This window comes from Homo sapiens, chromosome 6, assembly GCF_000001405.40.
Source record: "Homo sapiens chromosome 6, GRCh38.p14 Primary Assembly".
Lineage (NCBI taxonomy): Eukaryota > Metazoa > Chordata > Mammalia > Primates > Hominidae > Homo > Homo sapiens.
The window spans coordinates 147,675,963-147,702,208 of record NC_000006.12 but is presented as its reverse complement, the minus strand read 5'-3'; the positions used below and the strand labels follow the sequence as shown (position 1 = coordinate 147,702,208).

General features: G+C 38.0%; 1 protein-coding gene across 1 annotated transcript in view, besides 1 other annotated feature; it reads right to left on the bottom strand.

Moving 5' to 3' along the window:
- SAMD5 (sterile alpha motif domain containing 5) overlaps nt 1-26,246 on the bottom strand; it is a 445,991-nt gene that overhangs the window by 252,472 nt on the left and 167,273 nt on the right. The gene's annotated exons all lie outside the window — the stretch shown is intronic.
- Nucleotides 12,529-12,729: a silencer, noted in NCBI's record as "peak6203 fragment used in MPRA reporter construct". NCBI's record gives its function as "represses an SCP1 promoter by STARR-seq MPRAs in K562 erythroleukemia cells {active_cell/tissue: K562}" and the evidence as "EXISTENCE:reporter gene assay evidence [ECO:0000049][PMID:32103011]".

Below are 26,246 nucleotides of genomic sequence, written 5' to 3'. Positions count from 1 at the left end.
TATGACAGTGAATAAGTCTCACAAGATCTAATGGTTTTTCCCCACACATGCTTTCTCTCTTGCCTGCCACCATGTAAGATGTCCCTTTGCTCTTCTTTTGTCTTCCGCCATGATGGTGAGGCTTCCTCAGCCATGTGGAAATGTGAGTCCATTAAACCTCTTTCCTTTATAAATTACCCAGTTTCAGGTATGTCTTTTTTAGCAGCATGAGAACAGACTAATACAGGGGCCCTTCCCGTTTCCAATTCTTTAGTCAGGTTCCTCAAGTCTAGTCATAATTTAAAAACATATAAACATATCTAAGGATTTCTCCCATTTAGTCCTAGATGAATTTTCTCCCCAGTTATCTTTTAAGTAAGTTTCTATGTTCTCTCTCTCAAGCTCTATTTACCCAAAGCCAGTATGGATGATCAGCTTGTGTTTGGCAAGCATATTAAGGGACACCTTAATTTGATTATCTAAAAATATACAATTGTGGCAAGTGTTCCTAATCAAAATAAAATGAACCCTCTAACTGAATACATATCATTCAGTTTTTAATTTTTTTTTTTTTTTTGAGACAGACTAGCTCTGTTGCCCAGCCTGGAGGGCACAATTTTGGCTCACTTGCAGTGAGGCACAATCTTGGCTCACTGCAACCTCCACCTCCCAGGTACAAGTGATTCTCACGCCTCAGCCTCCTGAGTAGCAGGGATTACAGGCGCGTGTCACCACGCCTGGCTAATTTTTGTATTTTTAGTACAGACAGGATTTTACCATGTTGGCCAGGCGGGTCTCCAACTCCTGGCCACAGGTGATCCACCTGCCTGGGCCTCCCAAAGTGCCGGGATTATAGGCATGACCATCATGCCCAGTCCAGTTTTAAAAATATTTATATCTTGCTTAGAATTGCGTTTTATCTAATGTGTATATGCATGCTTATATATAATTTTTTATATTTATCATATATTATGCTTATATCAGTACTTACAAAAATGTACAGTGCTTGCAAATATCTAATTACTTTTCTTTAATCTTACCCTTTAGTGAGGATGTTGAGATCAGTGTCCAGAACCCCTCAAATAACGGCTGTTTATTATAATAATGATTGTTATTACAATCTAAACCCTAACTTCCCATGCAGAGGCCCTGGAAGCCAGTTTCAGTGTAGTTTACAGGAAGGAACTAGCTCATTTGTTTAGCTGAATATGTAAGATTCAAGGATCCTTTTCTACCAGCTAGAAGCAATTATAACCAGGCACATTAACAAGACTCTTGCTTCTCCCATGATTTATCTTCCTCTTGAATCAGATAAATTTTATTTATTATCTTAGGGCTGTGTTCTGCTGGCACTTGTTCTGGTCTATTCTCCTAGTGAATTTTCTAGCCAAGAACGTAATTTAATCTGTGACTTCAGTTTCCCACCAGCCGATCACATTTGCCCTTATCCTTCCTAATTTTTTAAAATATGCCAGTTGTTCTTTACTCTGTAAAATAATACGGCTAAAGCCAAGTCCTTTTGATAAAAGAATGTGGTACATACTTCTAATGTAGACTTGCTGTTACTTCCAGAGATCACCACGTGTAGCAGAATGATCATTCAGGGCCAGATGTTTGCTGCTATACAAATAAAACACATGTGGACAGGGCCTGAGATACAGAGGCAAATGCAGACCTGTTATACCAGCTCACTTGGGGGCAACCTACCCAACACAGTAGTTTACAGTGTCACAGGGTTAGGTGAAATAGACCTGAATATCTGGGGGGAAAAAATCCTGAACTTAGATTTCTGAACTCCTCTGGGACTTAGATAAGAAAAATGGGGGTGAAATCTAAACTATGCACCTGCTTTTCATTAAAACAGCTCTATGATCAAGATTAATCTCAGGATCTAATAACACAAAGCCTCAGTTTTCTGATCTCTAAAGAGGCAGATTAGTCTAGACCAGTGATTCCCAATTAGGATCACGCAAGGCAGGATGGAGCAGAGGTGTGGTTTGAAAATTAGATTTATCATTATAATAAAATCTTACACTGTATTTAAAAAATCTTACGAGTTTAATAATACAAACTAAAGAGAGGTTGAAGAAAATAAAGGCAAGGGATCTTTTTTAATCGAAAGGAAGCATGGGTTTAAAACATAAAAAACTGGACTAAATTCTCTTTCAGATCTGAGGCCTTCGATTTCCTCCCAGAGCATAGATTACCACACTATCAGCATTTGGCACTGAACTTGGAAGGGCTGGTTATTTCCTGTAATTAGTACTGCGTATCAGCAGTAATAATGAATTTCAATCTTGCTTTGATTAAATATAAAACATTTAATTCAAATATTAGTCAAACACAGATAACACAAACATTCGTTCAGGTCCTTGCATGACTCGCTTCTCCTAACCTCAAACAGCAGCTTCATAGTACCCTGAGTCTTGCTCATCTTGAGTCATGTAAATTACACCCTGAACTGTTTTGAAGAATTTACAACTCGCTGGTTAATAACTAGCTAACAATATGCATCCTGTTTATTTTAAAATCACCCTTGATAGAGGAATGGGCTTCAGATTCATTCATGTGGACTATCTCCTCTGTGAATAAAACGTTTCACACTCAAACATTTAATATTTAAAGATCAGGACTCTTAGTTAAATGAATTAATCTGGTGTGAAAACTATTTGCATTTTTAACATCATCAGAATTTCTCTCACCCCCAGCTGTTTAGTTCACTGCTTGTATGATTATAATTAGTGGGAGGGGAAAAAACTCATTTTATTCAATGTTAAATTATATTCAAGAATTCTTAAACAACTTGTAAAACCTCTCTAATACTACAGTACAAGTAGGTGGGGCAAGGGAAACCTCAGGGTTCTTTTTAGATAGAAAGCATCATTTCTGCAAGAAGGCAGTGTCTTCTTAAAGCAGTAATTCATTTTCCCATATGTGTCCAGTATTCAATTCATTCATATGCAAATGCAGGGAAGATTTACTGAGCCTCTGCTTTGAGCCAGGCGTCAGTCTAGGTGCTGAAGGATACCAAGTCAAGGAGCCTATGGTCAAAGAATTGGGGTGCTGGTGGGGGAAGGTCCGCTAAACAAGATTCCACTGGGAGTTGTCAGAAATCAGGCACATGATTTCCAGCATCCAGGGGGTGTTGAGAACCAGGAAATCCTTTCCATGTTTGGCCTGAGCCTCCAACCTCCTCTAATACCACTATCTCTACCCCAGCACTCCCAACTCAAGCTCACCACATATGGCCAGCCACACCAGCCTCCTTTCTGTTGCCCAAACATGCCAAATTGATTTCTGCCATGAAGCCTTTTCATCTGATACCTCTCCACTGAAAGTCCCTGCCTGGCTCCTCCCCGTTCTTCCATTCTCAGCCTCCAAGTTCCTCCAACTCTGCCCAGGAATTCCATAGAGCATCCTGTTTAATCTCCATGATATCACAATTCTCAACAGTCTTGTTTATTTGTTTACCAGTCGATTGCTTGTCTGTTTCCAGTAGAATATAAACTGGGCAAGTACAAGGGGCTTTATCTGCCTTGGCCACTACTCCCAGAACTTCTAGCCTGTCTGCTGGGGACATGGTAGATCCTTTGTGTAAATGTATTTTTGAAGTGAATTGGTGGATGAATGAATGAATGAAATGACTACTCTATAGCAATTCATGCTATGACAGAAGTGTGCTCAGAGTACTAGGGGGATACTGAGGAAACATGCCTTTTGAGTCTGAATATTATTTTTTTCCACAGGACATCACATCTGGGCTAAGTTGAAAAACAAGGAGGAGTTAGCTGGACAATCAAAGGGAAAGGAGAAAAAGTGTTTTCCAAGTGTAGAAAATGCCATTATTATGGGCTGAATGTTTGCGGCTTGGCAAAACTCACACACTGGAATACCCAAGATGATAACATTAGGAGGTGGGGTCTCTGGGAGGTAATTAGGTCCTGAGGTGGAACCCTCATAATGAAACCCACTCAATAGTCCCACAGATATGGGGTCCCCAACCCCGGGGCCACAGACAGGTACCGGTCTGTGGCCTGTTAGGAACCAGGCCACACAGCAGAAGGTGAGCAGCCGCCAAGCAAGCATTACAGCCTGAGCTCCGCCTCCTGTTGGATCAGTGGCAGCATAAGGTTCTCATATGAGCACAAACCCTACTGTGAACTGCGTGTGCGGGGGATCTAAGTTGTGTGCTCCTTATGAGAATCTAACTAATGCCTGATGATCTGAGATGGAACAGTTTCATCCTGAATCCATCTCCCACCCCAGGACTCTGGAAAAACTGTCTTCCATGAAACTGGTCCCTGGTACCAAAAAGGTTGGGGACAGCTGCCCTACATAGTTTTTTTAGCTAAACATAGAAACTGACCCTTCTGGTCTTATGAACCTTACATTTGTTTTATCTGAGTTCCATCCGCAGGAACTGATCTTCAGGCCTCTCAAGTAAAGTATAGAAGAACTGAAACTCACCATATCCCCACATCCAGACAATGAGATGCTGGATCTCTCATTCATCATGATTGTTTCCTTGCTCCTCCCTAGTTCCTGCTTTCTTACACGTTGTTACATTTCTTCCTTGCTATATAAACCCCTAGTTTTAGTTTAGTTTTTTTATAGATTTTTTTATTGTTAAGCTGCAACATACATGATTTAGTACAACAAAAATAATTAATCAAGTGATAAGTAATAAACTGAACAAAACGCTGAAACATTTTCCACTGGAAACATGTTAAGATAAATCTGAGGTTTGATTACCATCTTGCTGTAATTTTGTTATGTGTTACTAGCCTACATACCCCATGTTTTCTGTAATCATGCAGATGTGAGTGGAAGTTTGAATGATTAAATAAACGAAAGTCCATTTACTGCAGGGAACCATTCCACAAGGCGGCCAAACTGGGTTTAGAGAACAAAACTATTCAAGAAATTCTCCATGTATTTAGGTTCATTTTAGAATCCATGAATCTAGATGGATTTGAGACTGAGCTCCCATCTCCTTGGCTGCAGCGCCCGATTAAACCCTTCTTCCTTGGCAATACTGGTTGTCATCTCAGTCATTGGCTTTCTCAGCGGGCAGCAGCAGGACCTAGATGGAAACCCTGGTGTTTCGGTAACAATACATGGGATTAGCGCCCTCCCAAAAGGGACCTCAGAGAGTGCTCTGCTCTTTCCACCACATGAGGACACATCTGCACACGAGGAAGTGGGCCTCACCAGATAAGGGATCTGCCCACACCTTGATCTTGAACTCTCCAGCCTCCAGAACTGTGAGAAATAAATGTCTGTAGCTCACAGGCTATTTGCTTTAAGAGACTTATGCTAAATATTTTTTTCTTTTAATCTCTACCCCAGTGGCCTTGCTACAGCCTAAAATACCCATAAGCAATGGCAAGGCAGGTTAATGGAACGCACCCTATATGGAAATTCCATGTTGACTGTTTTATGTATATTAACTCATAGAATCCAGTCCACATTTTAATCCCATGAAGTGGGCGCCGAGATGCAAAAGAGTTAAATAAACTGCCCAAAGTCACTCAGCTAACAGAAACGAGCCAGATATCCAACACAGCTTAGGAAAACTCCTACACTAGATATCCCCTGCTTTTGTATTAGGGCTTTGAAGGTTCCTAATCAAATGCTGGGAATCCACAGGAAGGGAAGAAGACCAGAACTCTCAGTGCATATGCTGGGCTAAGGCAGAGTGCACACGGGTAACAGGGGTGCCAGACCCATTGGTCCTATCAGGCTTGTGGTGACCAGGGAGGCCTGGGTAGCAGAAGCCCAGGATGACTGCCTGAGACCTTAGTGACCTATGTGTTACTCCAGGATGCCAGAACAAATACTGTCATTCTCTACATCTGCTATCTTATGAAGAATGGTGACACAGGCTGGGTAAGCCATCATCAGACATTAAGAATTTAGTATAAATTAACTTGTCGAATTAGGTAATCCCCCACCCAACCTCACTAAGAAGTTCAGGAGAGAATGAGTAAAAGGATAAGGAGAAGGCAAGTTTGGAGGGTGGAAGGGGCAGATTGAAGTGGGGTACCAGGGATCATGGAGTTGGGGGAGGGGGTTGAGACAAAGAGCACAGAAGAAGTAGGGTTCCTCAGTGAACACCCTACACTGACTTATGCACAGCCTGGTCTGCCACTACATACATCAACTGTCCACTACAGACATGAACCGTCTAGTCATCCTTATCTGAAACCCAGGGTTGTGCAAGACATGGCATGAGGAAAACACCACCTAGTTTCTCTTAACTAGAGGGTGTTAATTTGATAATTCTCAGAAGATCTGAAAGATAAAGAAGAGGTGAATTAAGGGGAAGAAGAAGTTTTCTCTGTTCTGCTAATACTTTTGGATTGCTTATACATGTAGAAGAGAATTATAAGAAGCATATATATGTATAAAGTATATATATGGTACAAAGTCTTAGTAATGTCTCTGCTGTGCCCTTTACTCATTTCTCACCTGGCTCTTACTTCTGTCTGGAGAGTTTACTAGCTTTAAATTTCCTGGGTTCAGGACCCTGTCTTATTCCAATGTCTTTGTAGACACTGGTAGCTAGCACAGTATCTGGCACATAGAAGACTCTAAGTAAATACTGGATGAATAAGTGAATGGAATAACACTGATAGTTTTTTAAAGAGATAATGCAAGTTGAAAGAAAAAGTTATCATATTCTTTATTTCTACTGACAAGTACTTTAAATAGCAGTATAAGATCATTTAGTTATTTAATATCCTGATCCACTTAATATGCTAGGCCTGCATTCTCTAGCTGTCAAAAAGCAAAAGCTATGGTATCACCTAAATTATCATCCCAAATAAGGAATAATTTAAACACATATGCACGGTTGGCCTAAGCGTAACGAAGGCTTTTGATTTTTAGAGGGTTTTATGGAAAAAAAATCATAGAAACTCAAAGCAGATCTCATTAATTAAAAAAAAATTTCCAGTGGGGAAATTTATCTGACAATATTTAATTAAACAATGAGAAAACAGTATTTCAACAAGTCACAGAAATTTCTGTTCATTGTCCAAGAAAGAGAAATGTAACATCTTTATTTTAAATTCCTAGATATCACATATTTGTTTCACGGGACAGATACGCTGTGACTTTCATGGAGTAACCTGAAGGAGAGAAAATACCTGAGATAGAAGACAGATGGGATGAGCCTTCAAAATTCAGACAATGACAGAGCTTTGAAGTGGGTATGAGACTTTCATATTATGGGCTGTTATTTACTCATGCTAGTTTCTGCCTTTCAAAATCAGTTTCCAGATTATCAAATATATAGTCTTGTAATCAAAAGACCTTTTATTGACTGCTTATTGATATGAGTTCAGAATTTCCAGAATATCACTGCAGAAAAAAAGTCTTATTTCATAGTTCTGATCCTATGTGATTTTTTATAACAGTGTTTTGCTCTGTCGCCAGGCTGGAATGCAGTGGTGCAATCACAGCTCACTGCAGCCTTGACCTGTGGGGTTCAAGCAATCCTCCCACCTCAGCCTCCTGAGTAGCTGGGACTATAGGTTTGAGCTACCGTGCCTGGCTAATTTTTTTGTTTTTTGTAGAGACTAGGTCTCCCTATGTTGCCCAGGCTGGTCTCAAACTCCTGGACTCAAGCGATCCACCCACCTTGGCCTCCCAAAGTTGAATTTTTATCTTATATTTAATAATAGCATATGCTGACTGGATAAATCAACATTATTATTTTCACCAGTAGAATTTTATGTTTGATGAAGAATTCTGCCCTTTCATATGTGAAGAAGGCAAACTCACCACCAACCTATCACATCCCATGAGCAAAATCATAATTATTTGGGAAAATAAATCCCAATAAGTTTGTAACAGATTATGCCAGTCATGAGGGGCCACTTCACAAGGAAATCACTTGAAAGATTTTTGTCTTGATCACCTTTGATGATAAATCTATCTAACAAAACTGAAAAAGAGAGAATATGAGAAAAAGGAGTGATAGGTTAATTGTTATCACATTACACTTCTAAAATGTTATCCCACCTGGCACCCCTTACCAGATGTTTCCTAAGCAAACTGCCGCAAGTGAACAAAGAACTTTAATTTGCAGAGGAACCAACTCCACACTATCATAATAAAGTCACTTCTTGTTGTCTCTTCATAATGAGCTGTCAGATGGCTTGCTTTGATTAAAAACAACAAAAACAACATCCTGGTATAAAAAGAACTGCTCCACGTGACACTCCTTCCTCTTGGACGGGATCTTCCCAATTTTTTTGAGACAAAGTCTCACTCTCATCCAGGTTGGAGTGCAGTGGTGTGATCTTGGCTCACTGCAACCTCCACCTCCTAGGTTCAAGCGATTCTCCTGCCTCAGCCTCCCGAGTAGCTGGGATTACAGATGCCCGCCACCACGCCCGGCTAATTTTTGTATTTTTAGTAGAGATGAGGTTTCACCATTTTGGCCAGGCTGGTCTTGAACTCCTGACCTCAGGTGATCCCCCGCCTACCTTGGCCTCCCAAAGTGCTAGGATTACAGGCATGAGCCACCGCGCCCGGCCCCAATCTTTCTGATTCTCTCACTAACCTAGCTGTGGTTCACCTTGTACGGAATTCAAACTTGAAATCCTTAAACATCATTCCTCCACTTGCAGGAACTGTGGCCTTATTGTGAACCAAAGTCTTCATTATTCCCTGTTATAAATAGATTATTATTTATCAAGGCTAGGTTTCTAGCCCCCACTGGAGTCTTGTCTTTCTCTCCTCCCCTCTCTGCCCCTTATTGCCCCAGGGCAGGACGTGGGGCTCTGCAGCATACGGCCTTATGAATCTTCCTCAAGTACCCAATTATCCCACTGTGCAGCCCTGTCAGCGTCCTGACAGCTGCGTGCAGGATGCAGGCCCTGCTGTCAGAGGTGAAAGACTGCAAGCAACCTCCCATTCCTCACCGCACCTCCATTACAATGTGGGGAAGAAGGGCACACACACTGAAAGGACTTCGTTAGGGATGCCATGGAGGTCAAAGACTGCTTAGAAGAAAAGGCTGAGGTGAAAATTAAAAAATGGAAAGGTGCCAGTGTAGTCCAGACAGGTGCTCGTGCTCTCATAGGGGCAGAATTGAAAGACTCCTGGCCCAGGCCTTGTGTAGCTATTGTCGGAGAGAGCGCACACTCAGGCTGATTTTAATTGAGATCAATTTAACAAGTACCATCTTCTGCAAAGTCCTTCAATTGATTAAAAACCAAATGAAGCTCTTGTAAGTGGTGACGGGTTTTTCTGTCATCTTTCCCCACTCCCTCCCCAATACGATGATTTTCTGAACTTTTGGAGATTGTGTGCTAAAGAGACAGCACTTAATCTGGGTTGATTTCTGCAGGTATATTTTAACATAATTATTTTTTGAGTTGTACTTTTGTGAACCTAACCTGCAATCTCAATTATTTGTCAACAGCAAACACTTATTAGTGGATCAGAATCGCAAAAGGCCCCAACATTCTGGCTGTTGCCTAGAGAGCAGCCTCTCTAAAAATTGACTGATTGCATTGTAGAGACCACAGGACCACACTTGTGTCACTGGCCAATTGCATCTTAAAAGGTGTTTGCTACAAGTAGTCATGATTTAGAGAATGGACTTGGGGCCGCACTTCTCCAACTGAGTGTAACGATCACCTGTGTCCTATGGTGATATCAACTAATAACCAGGGACATTTCATAGTAATGCAGATGTAAGACCTTCTTGGTGTTTATCTAGACTTACCAAAGACTGCACACGCAGGACAGACCCCTTTCTGTTTAACAAAGCTGCTAAATAAATGATGGCTCCAGTGACAGAAGAAAATGAGGCCCTGCAAAAAGAGAAAATACATTCTACAGGGAATTTTATGTGTAAGAGGAAACAATTCCTTGTATCAAGACCAGGATTAGATGAACATTTCTATTTAATTGCATCATGAGGGATTTAAGATTTACAACACAAAAGAGGTACTTACTGTAAGAGTTGCGCAGGGTTGAAATACACCATACTAAAGACAGTCATAGATGTTCTCCTCTAGAGAACTTCATGAACAATGAAGAAACATATGAGATGTGGCTCTATAGTATGGAAAGTTCCTTTTTAAACATCTACACTAGAATTTCCATATTTCAATAAGTTATCATCCACTTCAAATAATCACTCAAATAGTTATTGGAAGAATCAAGTGAGATAATGTGGACAAATCATGTTTAGTACCTGGCACTCAATCAGGGGGGTGTGTGTGTGTGTGTGTGTCACATACATCCTACTTATAGCTGAAGGCCAATGAGGCTGTAACTCTTCAAATTGCAAGTGTTTTGAATTCCCTCTGAATTATTTTCAGAACCTTCAGTCCATTCTCTTTAGCAAGATTTATGTAGTACTTAAATATCTGCAAAGAACAAGCTAAGACTGGAAAAACTTCCTGTGACATTGGCCTTGATTTCTGAACAGTGTTGTCATTCAGAAATGAGAATAATAAAAGAGTCTCAAATAAGCAAGTCAAAAAATATCATCTGGGGTCAAGATTGAGATATACACTATCAAAGCAAGGAAATAGTTGCTTTGGTGGCTTTCTGCCTAAGCTTACAGACGACTCCAAAAGAGGAGTTGCAAGATTGAGTAATGATGGCTTCAGCAAAGTAAATATGTAGCTTCCCAAGCTGCTACATTAAACCAGAGTTTGTTAAATACATATTTTTATCACTTTATAAGTCAAGCATTACTCTTTTAGGTAACAAACGATCTCTTGGTATATCTGAAAGTCATAGTTGAAAAAAATTATAAATGTTTAGTATATATATCTATAATTTGGAGAAAAGAAGATATTTTTGTATTAATTAATGACTGAATACAATCAAAATACACTGAGAAAAACAGTAGTTGCCTTCTGCTAGGGAATAGAGTTAAATATCTCTCTAAATAATAGATACCTAAGGCTGGATATGGTGGCTCACGCCTGTAACCCCAGCACTTTGGAAGGCCGAGGCAGGTGGATCACTTGAGGTCAGGAGTTCAAGACCAGCCTGACCAACATAGCAAAACTGTGTCTCTACTAAAAATACAAAATCAGCTGGGTGTGGTGGCACCTGCCTGTAATCCCAGCTACTCAGGAGGCTGAGGCAGGAGAATGGCTTGAACTCGGGAGGGGGGTGTTGCAGTAAGCTAAGGTTGTGCCATTGCACTCCAGCCTGGGCAACAAGAGTGAAACTCCATCCCACCACCCCCACACCCCCGATCCCCACCAAAAAAAAAAAAAAAAACCCGAGAGCTGGAAGGAAACAAAGGCACCATCTGGAGATTCCGTGCTAAAAGAAATCGCACTTATTCTGGGTTAAACCCTGTATGGGTGTTTTTAAATTATTATTATTTGAGTCAGATGGTGAATGCCAACATCTGGAATTCTAGACCAATTCTCTCATTTCCAGAGAGGAAACATAAAATTCAGAGAAGTTAACTGCTTTGCTCAACCACATAGATTGAAACAAGAAGAATGAAAAAAACTGAATCAAAGTCTTCTCATTCTGAATTTCCACCATACTTTGTTGTTCTAGAAATGGGATTTATTTATTTATTTATTTTTTGAGACAGTCTCACTCTGTCACCCAGGATGGAGTGCAGTGGTGCAATCTCGGCTCACTGCAACCTCTGCCTCCTGGGTTCCAGTGATTCTCGTGCCTCTGCCTCCCAAGTAGCTGGGACTGCAGGCGCCCGCCACCACGCCCGGCTAATTTTTGCATTTTTAGTAGACACAAGTTGGCCAGGCTTTTCTTGAACTCCTGACCTAAAGTGATCTGCCTGCCTCAGCCTCCCAAAGTGTTGGAATTATGGGCATGAGCCACCACTCCCAGCCTAGAAATGGGATTTAAAGAGATATATTAAAATTTTTTTAAACTATTTATGACATAGGTCAGCATTAGCCTACAAGTAGCTAAATAAATAGCTAAAGTTTTCTATTTTTAAAAAAGTAATAAATGTATCAAGTGAAGTGCCACAGAGTATAATATAGTTACTGGTTTGTATGGTTGAAGAATTATAATTTAGATTTAAAAATAGATATCCTAATTTTCCTTGTAATCAAACCATTTCACTTATTGTTATATGTGATTATATTATATTTACTTATAACATGTCTCCAACAACATTTTGATTCAAAATTGCACTGTTTTTTACTGTGGGGTGGAACTTTTTAAACCAACAGATATTTTCTAATGTCTTCAAATAGGCCCCACTGTGCAGATCCTCAGCCAAACTATTAACCGTCAAGGAAACAGAATTCTCTTTGAAATTTTTTTCCAAAATAACACTATAGCACTCTTTATACATTAATTTCCAGACAGAATTACTTTTTAAAAGTTGAAAGAAATTTAAAAGATTTTGAATTCAATTTCACAAGCATCACCCTGTGAATCTGCCATATCCCACCCCACACCCAGTTAAATTTCAACAAAGAGTGAAATCATTCACCATATCTGTTTCCTAGAAAGGCCTGCAGCATCAAGAAACAGAATTGTTTTTTACAATAAGTGATTGTTTTCCTAAAGCACCAACATAGCTTCTCTCTTTCCAAAATCACATTGCTGCCATTTTTAATGAGTTAACATATAGATGCACTTGCAAAGACATCTGACTACCTAGAAAAAAATGCCCCTTTAGTCACTTCCTTTTCAGTTCCTTTGACTGGGAAAAGGGAAGAGTTAGCAGAGATAAGTACCTAATAACTTCTATGTTTTATATACACTGTCTTTTTAATCCTCCTACTAGCAAAGTAAGATATTCTCACCATTTTACATATAAGGATAATGATACTCAGAGAGATTCATTAGATTTTCCAAGGTAATGAGTTGGTATATTTTGGAAGTATGGCTGAAGCCCATTCTTTCTGAGCTGACTCTTTCCATTTTAGTACTAAACTAATTTAGAATAACTGTAATGGTAAATAGAGTTTGCATTTACCTTTCAACACTTTCCAAGCCAAACCCCTGGCCTTGAATACCTTGGCTGCACTCTCTTGCCTGTGACCTTTATGCTGGGTCTTACTGGCCCATGAATGGATTTTGTCTTGCCCCTCTTTCCTGCTGACTTCCATCTTATTAAAACTTTCTAGGACTTTCAATAAACTCTACTCCTTTGATTCAAAGGCTAACCAAAGAAACCAAACCAGGAAAACATCCTGAAAAGAGCCTACTTCAAAGAATTCAAGAGAAACACATACTTCCACTACTTAATACATTGAAAACTCTAAAAAGGATCTCCAGTGAGCTACAGTGACATCTTAAACAAGAGAGCTTTTTGGTGCTTCACAAACTATATAGAGTAGGTTTCTGACTAGTTTTCTCATTAAAGAATGAAGCCAGGATTTTGACCTTTGGTGATGATGGACTAATTTGTTACAAACAAAAAGTGTCCCACCTGGAACACCTTGAAAATCTGGACCCCCAAAATTTCCATTTTAAGTGTTGGGGAGTTAATGAAGCAGCAAAGACTTAACAAGCAAAATCCTTAAGATGAGAGAAGCTTGGAGAAGTGAGCCTGATAGCTAGCACAGGGTTTCCTTTGAGGCACTTGAGTGGAAACTGAGAAGCTGCAAAGAACTTCTGGTAGTTTTAAAAACCAAGAATAACAAAAACTGGCCTTCAAGGTCCACTGGTATTCAGGTGAGAACCTCTCCCAATAAAGGCTCTATGCTAAAACTAAGAATGAACTAGAAATAGACCAGCATTCGCAAGGTTAAAACCAAATTTCAAATCAACTCAATCCCTCTTTGTATTCAAGCAATCTCCTTTATCCTAAGTGCTGCCTGAAATAAAAGTATGCCTATTTTGGATAAAGATAACTATCACTGAGAATCTCAAATTATCTCTACATTTTAGTACACTATATTTGGCAATAAATAAAAAATTACCAAGAATATTAGGTGACAAAAGCAAATTAAAAGAAAAACACAAAAAGTGAACACAAGAGAAAGAGGCAGTATAAAGTGACAGATTTTAGATATCATATATAAAATTTTAAAAACCAAGATTAATAAAGTTGAAATTCATAAGATGCAGAATTTTAGCAGGAACTCAAAACTAAAAAAAAGAAAGAAGGAAAACAGAAACAAAGGAAATAAGAGTCAAAAATGACATAAAAAAGAGAAAAAGAGAATATGGGACCCTGTGAAAAGTTCTGACATATATGTAATCAAAGTCCCAGATGGAGAGGAGAAAGAAAATGGCCCAGAAGAAACATATACAATATATGAAGAGGTGAAGCTGAAATTTTCATCTAAAACTGATGAAAGACTTAAACCACAGTTCCAAGTTCAGTGAATTTCAAGCAGGAAAATCAGACTTATACATGTCACATTACTATTTCATGTTGCCATTAGAAGGGATAAAAACACGTTACCCTCAAATAAGCTGCAATAAAACTTACAGCTGACTTCTCAGCAGAAACTATGCAAGCCAGGTGACAACTCAATTACATCTTCAAACTGCTAAAAGTGAGTGACAGCCAAAAACACTCTACAGGTGTAACAACATCCTTCATAAATAAAATATCCTTTATAAATGAAGAGAAAATAAAAACATTTTAACACAAATAAAAACTAATAGACTTGACCAGAAGTCTGCATTAAAGAAGATTAATGGTTCTTCCTCAGTCAGGGGTAAATGATTCCAGATAGAAGTATGAAGAGGGAATGAAGTACACTTTGGGAGGCCAATGTGGGCAGATTGCTTGAGCCCAGGAGTTTGAGCCTGGGCAAAATTGCAAAATCCCATCTCTTCAAAAAATACAAAAATTAGCTGGGTATGGTGGCGCATGTCTGTGGTCCCAGCTACTCGGGAGGCTGAGGTAGGACTTGAACCCGGGAGGTCAGGGTTGCAGTGAACCAAGATCACATCACTGTACTCCAGCCTGGGTAATGGAGTGAGACTCTATAACCTAAAAAAAAAAAAAAAAAAAAAAGAAGGAGGAGAGGAAAGGAAGGGAAGGAGGGAGAGAGGGAGGGAGGATAAATGAAGTAAAACAGAAATAATAAATATGAGAATATATCTAAATGAATACTGATTGTGTAAATGAATAGTAATTATGCCTTGTAGGGTTTAAAAAATGTGTGCATGTGTGCACATATATACATACATCCATAAAGATGTCATTTGTCCCAGAATTTATCTACAAATTCAATATAAACCCATAAAAATTCCAGTATGTTATTTTTATCAAATCAACACATTGATTGATTCTGAATTTCCATGGAATTACAAGAAGCCAAAAATATTGTAAAGAATATACCTATGTAACAAAACTGCACGTTCGGCACATGTATCCCAGAACTTAGAGTATAATAATAATAATAAAAAGATTGAAAAACCCACAGTGAAGAAGGTTGTTTTGTTCTGAGAAGCCAAATATTTAGCTTAGAAAGCTTCTTGTTTAATGGCCATGATTATGGAATATACTTTTGGAAATGCTGCCTTAGACTTCTCAAGCTTTTTCCTTTAAATAAATACGTTGAGTGAGGAAAAAAAAAAGAGTTGTTATAATGGATACCAAAACTTCTTAAAAAGCTATAGGAATTAAAATAGCACAGTATTGGAAAGCATAGAAAAATATACCAATAAACAGTATAAAGGAACCAGAAACAGACTCATGCTTATATGGACACATGACTTATACCATGTACTGGTATGACATGGCACAGCAGTAGTGATAGGATGATCTTTTAAATACATGAGACTAGGTCAACTGGATATCCATATGGGGAAAAGTGCATCTTGTTCCCTACCTTATATCAATACAAAAAATAATTCCATATGATAATTCTAAATATAAAAGGCATGACAATATGGCATTTAGAAGATAATAGAAGTGAATGTCTTTGTGACCTTGGAACTGGCAAAGGTTTCTGAAACACAGCGTAAAAACCACTAGCTATAAATGAAGAATTTTATAAATTGGACTACATAATATTGAGAGATACCACAGAGTGCTGAAGAAACACGTCACAGAGTCAGAGAAGATGCCTGCAATATATGACCAAAGAAATACTAATTCCAATAATATACAAAAATTCCTTATATATCTATAAAAAACGAAAACTTGCTGTTTTAAAAACGGCAAAATATATGAATAGATACTTTACAAAAGAGTACATCCGTACGGTCAATAAATACAGGTAGTCCACATTTTGCATGGCTTTGATATACACAAATTTTGTCAGTCACCAAACACAACGCAAATATCAGTTGCCACGGTGTATTAACTATAATTGTATGAAACAAAAACTTTGCTGGTATCTTTTCCACCTACAAATCACTAGGTAAATAATAATTGTGCATCAGGATCAGTGACCTATGACATCGCTTCTTTCAAAGTCTGTCATTGATTAGTCACTGTGTGTCTTTTATTTAGTGCATGCACAGACAGCAAAGCATGTAGTTGTGTTGCCTTCTTGTATCCCAGTGATAAACCCACATGATGTTCTACAAAAACGGAAAATCAACAGAGGAAATTGGTCAAAAAAAAGAAGAGAGAAAAAAGCAATACTATTGGAAGTACAATCAAAATTTAACATAAATAAAATTAGAGAAGAAATAGTTGACCTCAGGAATGTTGACACTACTGCCATTGTAAAGACTCCAGATATGCAGCCAGAAGAACTCCAAGAAGGCAAAGTTATCCATGTAAATGAAGAAAGTGGCTGTGATGAAAAGAATTAAGATGTCCCAGAGGAAGCGACTCCAGCAAAAGACTTCAAATTAAAGGAACTGGCTGGGTGTAGCGGCTCATGCCTATAATCCCACACTTTGGGAGGCTGAGGTGGGTGGATTACCTGAGATCAGGAGTTCAAGACCAGCCTTGGCAACATGGTGAAATCCTGTCTCTACTAAAAATACAAACACCTGTAATCCCAGCTACTCAGGAGGCTGAGTCAAGAGAATCGCTTGAACCTGGGAGGTGGAGGTTGCAGCGAGCCGAGATCGCACCATTGCACTCCAGCCTGAGTGACAAAGTGAGACTCCATCTCAAAACAGAAAAAGAAAACAAAACAAAAAACTAAAGGAACTGTCAGAGATATTTCACAACATTGGAAGTATGGAGGAATAAGCCATATAAATCTGATCCAAACTTAGAAAGGAGTATGACAATTTGCCAAGGCATAGAAAAGATGCTTGCTCCATTCCATAAGTTACACAATGAGAAGGCAAGCCCTATCCAAACTACTATTATTCAATTTTTTTACAAAGAAAGAGAAAACATTTTAATTCTCAAATTCCCACTGCTTTAAATTACAGTGAACTAAATAAGATTTAGTTTTACTAATTTTTTCATTTCCCTACATATTTATAACCAACAATATGAGAAGTTATTTTTTTAAAATATATTTTGACAAAAAATTTTAAAGGACCCAGAACAATTGTAATTTTCTCCAGTGATTATTAAGTTAGCTTTAGTCAATTTCATTTTACATGATAATTTTTACAGAACTGCAATCCTGTGCAAAGTGAAGACTGCCTGTATAGGAAAAAGATGTTCAATTTTATTAGTCATCTGGAAAATGAAAAGTTAAACACCACAGCACGCATTCCAGGATGCTCAAATCGAAAAAAGGATGGCAATGCTAAATGTTAGCCAGGATGCAAAGAAACTTGAATTCTCAGGCACTGTTGGTGGGAGTGTAAATTGAGTTAAAATACTTTGGAAGTATTTAGCAGCATCCACTAACACTGCACAAATGTACAACTTAGGACTCTATGACCCAGCCCAACTACCCCTAATATAAGCCCAACAGAAAGGCATATGTAGGTGTGTATACCAAAAATTATATACAACACTGTGCATAGTAGCCTTTCTCCAAATAATCTAAGAGACACAAATGACTATCAACAGTAGAATGGATATAAAAACCATAGTCTATTCACATCATTAATATAATTATTTATATAGAGAAGTAAGATGAATAGATTACAACAACAAGCAATAACATGGAGGAATCTTACAAGCACAATGTGGAGTGAGGAAGCCCAACACAAAATACAGACCATTGAAATCCACTTTTATAAAGCTCAATCATAGGAAGAACTAATCATAATGAAACGCTTAGCTCTGGGAAAGAGGTAATGGTGGGAAGGGGACCAAGCAGGGGCTTCTGGGATGCTGGTTTGTTTTATTTTTTGATCTGGATGGTGGTGACATGGGTGTGGTCACCTTGTGATAACTGATCAAGATGTATGTTCATGATTTGTGTGGTATTTCTGAATGACTCTTATGCTTTAATAAAATTTGTTTGAAAAATTAAAGCAAAGAATAATGTTTTAAATATGTAATATAAATATTTGTAATTATTTCATAAAGCATTAGCCTAGGAGTAATTCTGAAATGGTCCAAGAAACCCTGAAGATACCTGAAGTGCTTTCTGATGACCCATGAAGTCAAAATTATTTCAAAATCATCATGTGCATTTTCTACTGTTGTCATTTGTAATAATTATATCAAAGCAATGGCTGGAAAACTGCAGATTCCTTAGCATGAATCAAGCAGTGCTACCAAACTGTACTATTTGTCATCATATGCTTCTCTGCCATGCACTCACTCACTGCCATGCACTTCCATGCACCTTGCAAGGAAGGTGATCCATGCAAAATAGGAAACCATCTTTTTCTCACTGTAAGAGAAAAAGATGAAGAAAAAGGGGAGGAAGAAGAGGAGGAAAAGCCAGTTTCACTTAAGAATAACTGACAAAGTGGTAAAAAAATACCCATGTAATATATTTGTTATTTTCAAATGAATAGATACATATTTTAAATACATCTGCATTTTAATTCCTAATACAATAAATACCAATAGACAGAGATCTCTTTAGAGTCCTCAATAATTTTTAAAGGGAGAAAAGGGTCCTGAGACCAAAAAGTTTAAAAATCACTCTTAGGAAATACAGGGTCTGTGATTATTTTGCAACTCTCTCACCTATGTGTAAATAAGCCCCTTTTCAAGTATTTAAAAACTTCTGAAGTAGTTAAAACATTCATCATACAGTCAATTCTGTTTGTAAGTTTTATTTACATAGGCAAGCATTTCAAATGGCACGCAGTGTTAATGTTCATCCTAATCTCTGCCCCAATGATCAGAAGTTCCCTGTCATGAGGCAGAGTTGGGGATATGGATGAAGTTGCCTTCTGTCTATTTATTCAATGAAAGAAAATATGGTTCTATATAGCACAGAGAAAACGACACGGTTACTTGTCATCTGAAAATAAATACCTTTGATTACCATAGAATTTCACTGAAGAACAAAACCAAAAATCTATTTTTCACTGGATTTTTACATACAGTTTTAGAACAGAAGTATGTAAAGTAAGGTATTTCTACAAGTATGATTTAATAAGTTACTCAATGTCTCAAAATATATAAGAAACAAAGACATCAACTATATATCAACTCCAAGAACTGATGAGAAAATATATCCTACAAAGATAAGATTTAAAAATGTAAAGACCAGTAAGGATAATTATTTACTATTCTCAGCAGCTAATTCAAAACCTACTATTTGATTAATTCTGAAATTGCTGAAAACTAAATATTAAGCCAGCCTATAATTTTGATTTTTAAAATACATGTACATTCATTAAAAAGAAAGTTGCACGGCTTGGCTTTCCTCAGGTATAAATCTAGAAATGAAAGCAGAGCCCTCCTTACCATACATACAGCTAAATTTAGGCAAGTATGGCAACTTTTGTGAGGGCCCTAAATCCTCTCGGGTGCACCTTGGAGTGATCAGAGATTAGTAGTGACCAGAAGATGCTCTCTGGACCAACTGTGGACCAATCAAAACTCTCATAGACTTCTACTCCTGATCAAACAAACAGACTTCCAATTCTGGTCAAGATACAATCACAGGTACCGCATTTATCCTCCCACTTGAAATGACTACAAACCAGACAAAATCTATGAAACAAGTTTTTAACATTGGACATTAGACAATGAAGGAAGGTGATCCATGCAAAATAGGAAACATACAAGATGAGCCCTACCATTGCTCCACCTTACTGTATAGGAAGAATTTCCAGGCCATGAGGAAGAGGGGGATCCCAGGCAGAGCCTGATGCCACTGTAAATGGAGGAGACAGAGATAAGAGTCCAGGGAGGTAGGGGCAGGTAAGGTGGCAGGAGAGTGCCACAGTGGGATGACATGCACAGAATGAGAGATTCCAGGATTTGCAGAGGGTCTTCATGCACTGTCAGCTAAGTACTGATTAGTACATGTATGTTACTAACCCAACTACCCAGCACCAGGGAAAGAAACTCACAAAAGGGGCAGCTGGAAAGGAGCTGATACCTGCCTCACACAGGATTGGAAGCAGCCTCTTTTCCCACCAGCCAGAGTGTAACACCTCATAGCTCATGGGGTGACTGGGTTCAGTGCTCAGAAGAGTTCTGCCTAAGTGATGGGGTAAAATTAGCCCTAGAATAAACACTGTTTGGGTCCTAACTAGGGCTAACAAATCTTAGAAACAAGAACCGAAATCTTCAAGCTGTTTCCAGTAATTTAATTGCATGCCAGAACAAAACTCAAGAATATTTATAGAAGTAGAAAAAATTCCAGCATGCAACAAGGTAAAATTCATAATGGCTGGTATTCAATAAAATATTTACCAGGCATGTAAAGAAGCAAGAAAACAAAATCCATGAAAAGGAGTAAAAATAATCAATCGGAATCAACACAGAAATGATGCCAATTATAGAATTAGCTGACAAAGACATTAAAAAGAGTTACTATAACTATATTTGATATAAACAAGAAAACAGGGAACAACTGTGCAGATTAAATAGAGACACAGAAGATATAAAAAGGCCCAAACAAAACACTTTATGATGAAAAACACTGGTGCCTGAGATGAAAAAAACATACTGGATGCAACTAACAGCAGATTAGTTACTACAGAAGAAAAGAGTAAACTTGAAGACGTAGCAACAGGAACTATCTAAAGTAAAACAGAGACAAAAATTGATTTTTTTAAAAATGGAAAATGCATCAGTTGCCTGTGTGATAATGTTAAACAGACTAATTTAAAAAATAAATTTATAGTTAAAAGCTTTCCTACAAAAATAAATAAAATTCCATGCCCAAATTGCTTCACTGGTAAACTGTACTAAACACTTAAGGAAGAAGTAATGCCAATTTTATACAGATGTTCCAGAAAATTAGAGACAGGAATATTTCCAAATTCATTCTATGAGGCAGCTTAACCCTGATGCCAACACCATAAAAAATGACTACAGGAAAAGAAAACTAAAGATCAATATCATTCAAGAACACAGATGCAAAACTATGTAACGAAACTTTAGCTAATCAAATCCAGTAATACATAAAAATGAAAATACAGCCTGACCATGTGGGGTTTACCCAGGAATGCAAGGTTGCTTTAACATCCAAATTTTAATCATGTTAAAGGACCACGAAAGAAAAACCATATGACCAACAATGTAGATTCAGAAAAAATATTTGACAGAATCCAGTATCCGTTCCTAATAAAAACTCTAAGCAAACTAGGAATAGAAGAAAACCTTCTCAACCTGATGAAGGGCATCTATAAAAACCTACAGCTAGTATCTTACTTAATGATGAAAGAGTGAATGCGTTCCACCTAAGATTAAGTACAAAGCAACCACATCTGCTCACCATATCTATTAAACATAGTAATGGAGGTTCTAACCAGTGTAATAAGCAAAAGAAATAAAGGGCATCCAGACTGAAAGGAAGACCTAAGACCATTATTATTCGCAGTCCACCTGTCCATGGGTGTGTAAAAGCTTACAGAATAATAATGTGTTTACCAGAACTAATATGTGAGTTTAGCAAGTTTGTAGGATACAAGATCAAGATACAAATTTGTATTTCCATATGCTATCAAGTATGAACATTTGGAAACTGAAATAATAATATTATAACATCAAAATATGTAATTCCAAGAGATGATTCTGACAAAAAATAAGCAAGACCTGCACATTTATATCTACAAGGTAGAGCTGAGAAAGGTTAGGAAGACTGAAATAAATGGAGAGACAGTTACGGGTCAGAAGACTCATCATTGTCATTAATTCTTTCCAAATTATAAGTTATCTGCAATCTTAAGTCAAATTTACATGAAAATGCAAAGGACCTAGAAAATCCAAAGCAACTTTTAAAGGAGAACAATATTGGAGTTACATTACCTGATTTCAAGACTTATTATAAATCTGCAGTAATCAAAATAGTAAGGTACTGACATCAGATAGACAAATAAATTAATGGAACAAAGTAGAGTCTAGAAATAGAACCACAATATATGGTCAATTGATTTTTGAAAAGGGTTTAAATATAATTCAGGGGGGAAAATATATTTTTTCAACAAATGGTGCTGAAACAATTGGATACCCACATGAAAAAAAAAAAAAGTTTTTATCCATCCCTTACATTATACACAATAGTTCAAAATAAAACTTCCAGGAGTAAATATAGGACAGTATATATTGGGTTAGGCAAAGATTTCTTAGATATGACAACAAAATGATGATCAAAGAAAAGAAAGAGACATTGGACTTTATCAACATTTAAAAACTCTGCTCGTAGAAAAAATTATTTTCCAAATGAAAAAATAAGCCACAGACTGGGAAAAATAATTGCAAAAAACCTATTTGATAAAGTAATTTAATCTAGAATACATAAATTCATTGTGGAATTCTCAAAACTCAATAATATGAAAACAAACCCAAGTTAAAAAATGGACAAAATATTTGAACTGACACCTCACCAAAGAATATATACAAATGCACATAAGCACACGAAGAGATGCCTGACATCATTCATCATTAAGGAAATAAAAACTATAATGACATTCTACTACAAACTTATTTGAGTTTCTAAAATGAAAAAGTCTGGCCATCCCAAGCATTGACTATAATGTAAAGCTACTGAACTCTCATACTCTGCAGTCTGAATACAAAATGATACAACTGCTTTGGAAAATAGTCCAGAAGTTTCTTTAAAAGTGATACATAGACCCACTATTCGATCCAGCCACTCCACTCCTAGAAAAAGGTAAAATGTGATCTTATAAAAATGTGTACATAAATATTCATAGATTTATTTGTAATAATCACAAACTGGAAACAACCCAAACACCCATCAACAGGTGAATGGGTAAACAAATTGTGGTATATCTATCCATTAAATTGTGGTATATATAGCCATATATTAGTACACAATTATATTACTGAACATCACTCAGCCATAAAAAGCAATGAACTATTGAGACATACAACAATACACTTTTGGAGACGATGGATATGTTCATTATCTTGATTGTGGTGATGGTTTCATGGGTATACACCTGTGTCAAACTTAACACAATTGTACACTTGGAATATGTGCAGTTTATTGTATGACAAGTATACCTCATTAAAGGTGTTTTAAAAAAAGAGAGCTCACTTATGCCAAGAACACACTAAAGTAACACAGTGAGAAAACCCTTCCCTCTTCCATGAACTCCCATTTCTCAAGGCGTTCTTTTATGGCTTATTTCTCTATGCTGGGACATCCTTCCACCCATTTCATCTAAGTGTTTGGTTTTGAATAAGATTGTTGATGAGGAGAGGTAACAGGTATAGATGAGGTCCCCCATCTTTCTGCCTACCAGAAAAGAGAGTTTTGGTAGACTTAAGAAAAGCCCTAAAAAGGAAGAAAATTATCCTGATTTATTACTTATGTTACAGCGAGTGATCTGGCAGGAAACAAAACCAGCAGTTAATCTGCCAAGCTGAAAAAATGCAACCCCTTTGTTGGTTGTTATGAAGCATTCAGCTGTTTTATAGTGGAAGTCTATCAAATTCAATACATTTTACATGATTGCAAATTCCTTAAAATATGAAGACACTATAACAGCATAACAATGAGAGACTGTGTTAGTTTACAATAACAAATTTTGTTATTCTTTGTAAATCCTACTGTTTTATTTTTAATAGTGACAAGACAGAAAATGCTAACAATGTTATGTTAATATAAGTGAGTACGTGTGCTTTAATGTGCAAACGAGAAGATAAGAGTTGCCTTTGCCTTCTTTCAGAAGTTTAAGTCAGGCGTATAAAATAAGACAATCTTATGGGAAAATGCATCTATAAATATCTATGATAATTTACCATAAATTACACATTATCCTGCTCCCACCTCCACCCCTCAGTGGAGTAAATGCCCTTAACCAAAGAGGTAGGATGAGAACCAATTGCACCATTCTTTATCTTTTCTACATAAGCTCTGTTAAATGCAACCCTAAATGGAGCAGCTATTTTCAGGGTAATATAAGATGACACTTGGGATATTGCCAGGAGTGTTTCAATTATTCAAAAGTGCCTGAGCATGGAAGGGGCTGGCTTGCTCACTTTTTGGTTGGGCCTCTAAGGTGACAATTCACAAGGCTCCCTACTAACTACGATGCAACCACCATACACCCTCTAACCTCCCCATCCCTTTACAGTGCCGATGTCCCATGGCCTTGCTCCCAAGCCCCCGCCCGCCATCCCTGGGCACCCTTCCTGCTTCCTCCATAGTGGTGAGCTTGGCCCAGAGCTCTTCTGCTGCCCAGCCCCTTTATGCTACTCTGAGGCTTCATCCTCTTGGGGTTTTTTAATCCCATTATCTGTGTTAGATACTCAACTCAATCCCATTCTCTCTGTTAGATACAGATCACATTTTTCCTCCATTTTCTCACATTAAATGTAACTTAATTTTCCTCAAGCTCAAAGTTTACCCTCTAAACCTTCCCAATGGCAGCCACTCCTTTTCCAACACCAACTCATTGCTGCTTCCAAGTCATTGCTTTCCCAGTTCTCTGGGCTGTTTCTCCACTGAAGTTCCTTACCACACCACTTTCTCCCCCTCCTCCACCTCATTCAGGAACTTCAGAGTGGCTCTGCCATCATTCTTAGAAACTCTCTTACTACTCAAGTTGATAATTCCTTTAATATTCAGTTCTTCTCAAAGTCATTCCCTAGCCTTGTCCAATACAGAGAGGTCCGGGTTTGCAGACTCTGAGACATCCTTGCTGATGACATGACTATCCGCAGCACACCGCATTCCTCAGTCACCCTCCACTCCTAAACATCAGCAGGCTGACATTGTCGGTAGCTCTGAAGATTTGATTTATGAGCTCAAGTCATAAAAATCAGGAAAAGAGCCACTGTCTTTCTTTAAGAAAGAAAATCCTCCTTTGATTGAGCAAAGCCAGTCCATTTATATGCTAATTTTATTTTTATCTGGCCCCTCACCATCTGGCCCCAGCTTCTGTCATTTCTTACTCTCACTCCCCCTCCCTCAATTCTGTATTTCATCCAGCCCCCTCTACCCTGATCTTCTAGCTCCCCTACCCCCACCCCCACCCCCAGGCCACTCTTTCCTCCTTAGACATGTGCTTTGCTCGTGGCAATCTCTCTACTGGAAAGCTGCATCTCTCCTGGATATTTCTATCGCTTCTTCAAGGTCTGGTTTAAATGTTACTTTCTCTTTGAATCCTTTCTCAGCTGTCTTAGGATGATTCATCCCTACTCATGTATATACTGACTGCCTACAATGTGCCAGGCATGTTCTAGGGTGTAGGGATCCATCAATGAGCAAAACAGATGAAAATCCCTACCCTCGTTGAATTCACCTTCCAATAGGAGGAAATCAATAATATACAAGAGGTATAGACTTTAAAAATAGTACACTATTTACTAACAGCATACTCTACCAATAAGTGCTATAAACCAGGATAGAAAAATAATGAGTGCTGAGAGTTGGGAAGGAAATTGCAATATTAAAATTAGGTGGTCTAAGAAAGCCCCACTGAATAGATGATCTTTCAGCAAACACCTGAAGGAGCTGAGGAAGTGAGCTTGCATTTGAAGAATGGCAAGATCAGTGTTCATTGCTAGTATCTCGGTGTCCAGAGTTGGACTGTGAATTCTGTGAGGTGAGAGACTTCTCACAGGTTTGTACTGCCAGTTTCCAAAATGGTCCCCAGCATCTTGCCGGGGTTGAATAAAAATGATGTTTGAATTGAACTTAATACCTACAGCATGCTCTGCTTATTCCTGTCCAGGTCCATTTCCCATTTTCAGATGACTTTTCTCAGGGGTAACATTACAAGCAGGCAACTGAGTGAAAGATGACAAACTTCAATTACCATAAAAGCAACTTACTCCACGCTTTCACCATGCAGTGTAAAATAAACAGTTAAAAGGTAACTGTGCTTGGTGTTGATATATT